Genomic DNA, 6,544 nt, shown 5'->3' on the forward strand with positions numbered 1-6,544 from the left:
AATGTGGATTTGCTGAATGTTAGATTTGAAGTTTCCTGTTTTGACCATTAGCTGACTATGAGAAAGATTTCATCATAAAGAAGGGATCTTGTTGGAAGACTGAGTAGTTTATGAAAAATTTTTTTGGCTGGGTGTGGTGGCTCACAGTAATCCTGTTACTTTGGAGGGCTGAGACAGGAAGATGACTTGAGGCCAGGAGTTTGAGACCAGCCTGGGCATCATGGTGAGGCCTGTCTTTTTTTAAAAAAATGATAAATTAAATTAATTTTAAAAAATTTAATTGGACACATCTTGACCATTAGCTGAATAATGGTCAAAACAGTAGCAAGGCTGGGTGCGGTGGCTCACACCTGTAATCCCAGCACTATGGGAGGCTGAGGCAGGTGGATCACATGAGGTCAAGAGTTCAAGACCAGCCTGGCCAACATGGCAAACCTCATCTCTCCTAAAAAAAATAAATAAATAATTAGCCGGGCATGGTGGCAGGCACCTGTGATCCTAGGTACTTGAAAGGCTGAGGCAGGAGAATCCCTTGAACCTGGGAGGCAGAGGTTACAGTGAGCTGAGATCATGCCATTGCACTCTAGCCTGGGCAACAAGAGTGAAACTCCGCCTCAAAACAAACAAACAAACAAACAAAAACCTCCAAAACAAAAACAGTAGCAAAACAGGCCTGGGAATCTTCAGGGTCCCATAAAGGAGCAGAGGCAGATTGTGTGTTAAGTGGGACTTTAGGAAGGCTATCAGGTTGTAGTGAGAAGAGCCTGATGAGAAATCGGCAGATATAGGTGCAAATCCTGACCTCTTCCCTTCTTCTTCTTTTTTTTTTTTTTTTGAGACGGAGTTTTGCTCTTGTTGCCCCGCATGGAGTGCAATGGCGCAATCTCAGCTCACTGCAACCTCTGCCTCCTGGGTTAAAGCGATTCTCTTGCCCCAGCCTTCCAAGTAGCTGGGATTACAAGCATGCGCCACCACACCCAGCTAATTTTGTATTTTCAGTAGAGACGGGGTTTCTCCATGTTGGTCAGGCTGGTCTTGAACTCCTGACCTCAGGTGATCCACCTGCCTTGGCCTCCCAAAGTGCTGGGATTACAGGTGTGAACCACCACGCCCAGCCTCGATCTGAGTAAACTTTGACATGTCACTAAACTTCTGGCCTCCCTTGCCTGCAAATACCTTATCTACAGTTGCCATAGACAGTCTAAGCTTCAAGGGACTCTGACCATAGTTAACACATATGAGAGGATTTTGTAAACTATGTTGGGTACATATAAAGTTTGGATTTTTTTTGTTATTGTTGTTTTAAACCAAACTCAAAGCCTATATTTTGCTCACCTGTGTGAGATCTATACCTCAAGATTTCTTATATGGCATTAAAATAGTGAAATCAAAAACCATGGTTTGAATGACTCACTACTGCAGATGGTAGAGTGAGTTTGAATGAGGGAGGAAGGCCATGATCCCGAGATTTGTCCGGAGAGAGAATCTGTGGCTGTTGGCAACAGAATTAAGCCCCAGAAACAAAGGGACCCTTTATTTGAGAGAGGTCCTGAGGTATCATCACAGTTATGGTTTGTAGTCGCAGTGGGAACAAGGATAGCATTGTGGGCAGGTGTGTGGCCTAATGGAAAACAACAGTATGAAGAGTGAGTAACTGGGGTATGGAGGATGGCGTCAGCCCAAGGACAAAGGTGCATCACTGAGAAGGAATCTTGTTGGAGGACTGAGTAGTTCCCTGAAGATGTTTTTATTTTTATTTTTATTTTTTTTTTGAGACAGAGTCTCATTTTGTCACCCAGGCTGGAGTATAGTGGTGCGATCTTGGCTCACTGCAACCTCCACCTCCCGGGTTCAAGCGATTCTCATACCTCAGCCTCCCAAGTAGCTAGGATTATAGGCGTCCGCCATCACATCTGGCTAACTTTTGTATTTTTATAGAGACGGGGGTTTCACCATGTTGGCCAGGCTGGTCTCGAACTCCTGACCTCAGGTGATCTGCCTGCCTTGGCCTCCCAAAGTATCGGGATTACAGGCATGAGCCACCGGCCTGAAGATGTTTTTGATGAGCCACATCTTGAGCTGGGAAAATAACACCATGAAAGCAGAGTTAGAGCCAATCGATCTAACAATTGTGGTCAATTGATTGGTAACAAAGGTGCCAAGAACACACAGTGAGAAAAAAACAGTCTCTTTATTTTTATTTTTGACAGTCTCTTTAATAAATGGTGTTAGGAAAACTGGCTATCCACATGCCGAAGAATGAAATTAGAGCCTTATCTCGCACCATACCCAAAAATCAACTCAAAGTGGAATAAAGACTCAAATGTAAGACCTGAAACTATAAAGCTACTCAGGAGGCTGAGGCAGGAGAATTGCTTGAACCTGGGAGGCGGAGGTTGCAGTGAGCCGAGATGGCACCAATGCACTCCAGCCTGGGCGACAAGAGCGTGACTCTGTCTCAAAAAGAAAAAAAAAAGTAAAGTAAAGTAAATGTGAAGAAATAGGAGTTGTTCCGGCAGTCTTATGCTTTTCTGGTCACACTGGGAGCTTATGTGTCCCTATGATGTGGGAGACCCTGGGACTTGATTTTCTTCCTATTTTCTCAGAAAAGAGCCTCAGAAATATTCACATAGGACTGCCTTGACCCTGCGATGGCAAATAACGTCACTCATGTGCAAATTCAGACAAATAGTAGCAGCTGCCTGGAATACTGTGCTGTGTGGGGCTCTAAGGCACATTTGGGGATCTGAGAAGTGGACAAGAACATTATTACACGTGGCTCAGTGATGTCTTGCCCGTGGTGGCAATCCTGCCGATTATTTTGCTGACCTTGTTAAGACTCCAGATTCCTGGTGATGAGCCTCATATGCTGGGATGCAGCTTTCTTCTCCTTTGTCCTCTGATTACTTTTTCCCTATACCCTCTGCTGTTGTCTAGTTTCAGTGCCACACCACGCCCCCAACCTCAACTTTCCGCTCACCTTCTCAAAGCCCAGTACTGACCCCTCCTCTAAGCCAGCCTTTTCTTCTCTGTCTTCCCTCTCATGGTGGTTTTTGGGAGGCTGAGGTTTCTGGGTGGTGCTGCATTTCTCCCACTGTGAAACGGACGGTGGTTTCACCTAAGACAGACATGGACCTTACAGGACCCCAACGCACCTCTTAGGCTTAAAGAACTTGCCCAAGAAGGATCTGTCATCCAAGCACAGTAAAAACGTGATCTTGCTGGGTCAGGTTCAGAATTGGTTGCTCTGGCCTCCTTGATACAGATGTTCCTCAACTTATAATGGGGTTACATCCTGATCAACCTATCGTAAGGTGAACATTTTGTAAGTTGAAAATGCATTCAGGCCGGGTGCAGTGGCTCATGTCTATAATCCTAGCACTTTGGGGGGCCCAGGCAGGTGGATCACCTGAGGTCAGGAGTTCGAGACCACCCTGGCCAACACGGCAAAACCTCGTCTCTACTAAAAATACAAATATTACAGGTGGCGAGTGCCTGTAACCCCAGCTACTTGGGAGGCTGAGGCAGGAGAATGGCTTGAATCCGGGAGGCGGAGGTTGCAGTGAGCTTAGATCATGCTACTGCACTCCAGCCTGGGTGACACAGCAGGACTCCATCTCAAAAAAAAAAAAAAAAAGAAAAGAAAAGAAAAAAAGAAACAGGGTTTCATCATGTTGGCCAGGCTGGTCTCAAACTCCTGACCTCAGGTGATCTGCCCACCTCGGCCTCCCAAAGTGCTGGGATTATGGGCGTGAGCCCCCGCCCCCGGCCTATACTTCAAATTCTGAATTTTGATCTCTTTCCAGGCGTGGTGGCATGTGCCTGTAATTCCAGTTACTCAGGAGGCTGAGGCAGGAGAAGTGCTTGAACCCGGGAGGTGGAGGTTGCAATGAGCTGAGATTGTGCCACTGCACTCCAGCCTGGGCAACAGAACAAAACTGTCTCAAAAAAAAAAAAAAAAAAAAAAAAAAGAAGTATATTTTCTACTGAATGTGTATTGTTCCCGCACTGTTGTAAAGTCAAAAACTTGCAAGTTGAAGCATTGTTAAGTTGGGGACCATCTGTATAATTGTTAACTCCAGAGTAGGAAGTTGCTCCTTTGCTCTACTTCCTTACATCTTCACAGCTGGAGGTGTAAGGGGGAACACCAAGGATGTAACTGAACCTTGATTCAGCTTCAGCCAGTCACGTTACTGTGCAGAGGTGAGATATGAATATTTTTGTCCATCAAGTTTCCACTGAACAGAGGCCCAGCACCACCAGTGCCTCCTGCAGAACTCTCAAAGACATGTGACATGGTCCTGGACCTCAAGGACAGCTGTGTGTCTGTAGGAAATAGTTAAATCACATGAGGCAAGATTCGTCTGTGTCACATTGAGTGAGACTTTGGGTATGTAGGATGTTCTGTGAGGTTGGCCTAGTTAAAAGAAGAAAGGCAGGAGTAAGGAAGCAGCTGGCAGTGATAAGAAGCGGAGCCCGGGCGCAGTGGCTCATGCCTGTAATCCCAACACTTTGGGAGGCCGAGGTAGGTGGATCACTTGAGGTGAAGAGTTCGAGACCAGCTTGTCCAACACGGCGAAACCCTGTCTCTACTGAAAATACAAAAATTAGCCAGGAGTGGTGGTGCATGTCTGTAATCCCAACTACTTGGGAGGCTGAAGCAGGAGAATCGCTTGAACCCAGCAGGCGGAGGTTGCAGTGAGCCAAGATTGCACCATTGCACTCCAGCCTGGGCGACAAGAGTGAAGCTCTGTCTCAAAAATAAAATAAAATAAAATAATAAAATAATAAAATAAAAATGTAAGAAAGGAGTGCAGCCAGTGCCTGTAGCCCTCCTTCTCACATATTCTACAGATAGAAGAGAAGGGACAAGGGTGAAATAGTGCAGTGTGTCTTTGGTTTCTCCATGTGTTTGTCTCTGTGTGAATTCAGGAGGGTGGTCAGTGTTCCTATCTACCTTTTTTTTTTTTTTTAAGAGGAACAGAACTGCTCATACTCACCTATAAAGCCAATTCTGTGGAAGTCCTGAACCTGTTAGTAGACCGTGAAACATCAGCCCCTGCCCAGTCATACACATCCTCATACAGGCTGAAAGTGGGAACAGTATTTACAAACCATATGTCCTTGTCTCCTTCACTCAGTAGATTCCTATTACTCCAGGTGGCACCTAGGTTGGCTAGTGTAATAAAGCAGACGGTGGGCCAGGCGTGGTAGCTCACGGCTGTAATCCCAGCACTTTGGGAGGCCGAGGTGGGCGGATCACCTGAGCTCAGGAGTTCCAGACAAGCCTGACTAACATGGAGAAACCCTGTCTCTACTAAAAATACAAAAATTAGCCGGGCGTGGTGGCACGTGGCTGTATTCCCAGCTACTCAGGAGGCTGAGGCAGGAGAATCGCTTGAACCTCGGAGGTGGAGGTTGCGGTGAGCCAAGATCACGCCATTGCACTCCAGCCTGAGCGACAAGAGCAAGACTCCATCTCAAAAAACAAAACAAAATAAAATAAAATAAAGCAAACGGTGAGCCGGGGAGTGGCTGAGAGGAGACAACTTATCCTTTTCCTTCCTAACTCACACACAAGCGCAGGTCAGATTAAGCACTGCCAAAGCTGGGGCCAATGATTCTCAAACTTTATTGTGCATCAGAGCCATGAAGTGTTGTTAAAACACACATTTCTGGGCCGGGCTTGGTGGCTCACACCTGTAATCCTGGCACTTTGGGAGGCCGAGGCAGGTGGATCACCTGAGGACAGGAGATCAAGACCAGCCTGGCCAATACGGTGAAACCCCATCTCTACTAAAAGTACAAAAATTAGCCAGGTGTGGTGGTGCATACTTATAATCCCAGCTACTCGGGAGGCTGAGGCAGGAGAATCACTTGAACCCAGGAGGCGGAGGTTGTGGTGAGCTGAGATGGCACCACTGCACCCCAGCCTGGGCGACAGAGTGGACTCCATCTCAAAAAACAACAGCCACCAAACCAAACAAAACAAAACAAAAAAGCCACAACACATTTCTGAGCTCCAACTCCAGAGTTTCTGATTTAGAAGATCTGTGGGTGGGGCCTAAGAATTTTCATTTCTAACAAGTCCCCAGGTGATGCTAATGCTGCTGGTTTAGAGACCACACTTTGAGAACCATTGGCCTATGCTATTGGTTTTCAACCATGGCTGTAGGTCAGAATTACCTGGAAAGTTAAAAGCAAAACAATCCACGTCCAGATCTTTTTTCAGATCAATTTCAACAGAGTCTATGTGGGAGGCACCAGACAGCCATGATTTTAGACCCCAGGTGATTCCAATGTGCAGTCAAGTGTAGGGGTGGGTTGCCCCTCCACACCTGTGGGTGTTTCTCGTAAGGTGGAACGAGAGACTTAGGAAAGAAAAAGACACAGAGACAAAGTATAGAGAAAGAAATAAGGGGACCCAGGGAACCAGCGTTCAGCATATGGAGGATCCCGCCAGCCTCTGAGTTCCCTTAGTATTTATTGATCATTTGTGGGTGTTTCTCGAAGAGGGGGATGTGTCAGGGTCACAAGACAATTG

The sequence above is a fragment of the Homo sapiens genome, chromosome 17 (assembly GCF_000001405.40).
Source record: "Homo sapiens chromosome 17, GRCh38.p14 Primary Assembly".
In the NCBI taxonomy this organism is placed as follows: Eukaryota; Metazoa; Chordata; class Mammalia; order Primates; family Hominidae; genus Homo; species Homo sapiens.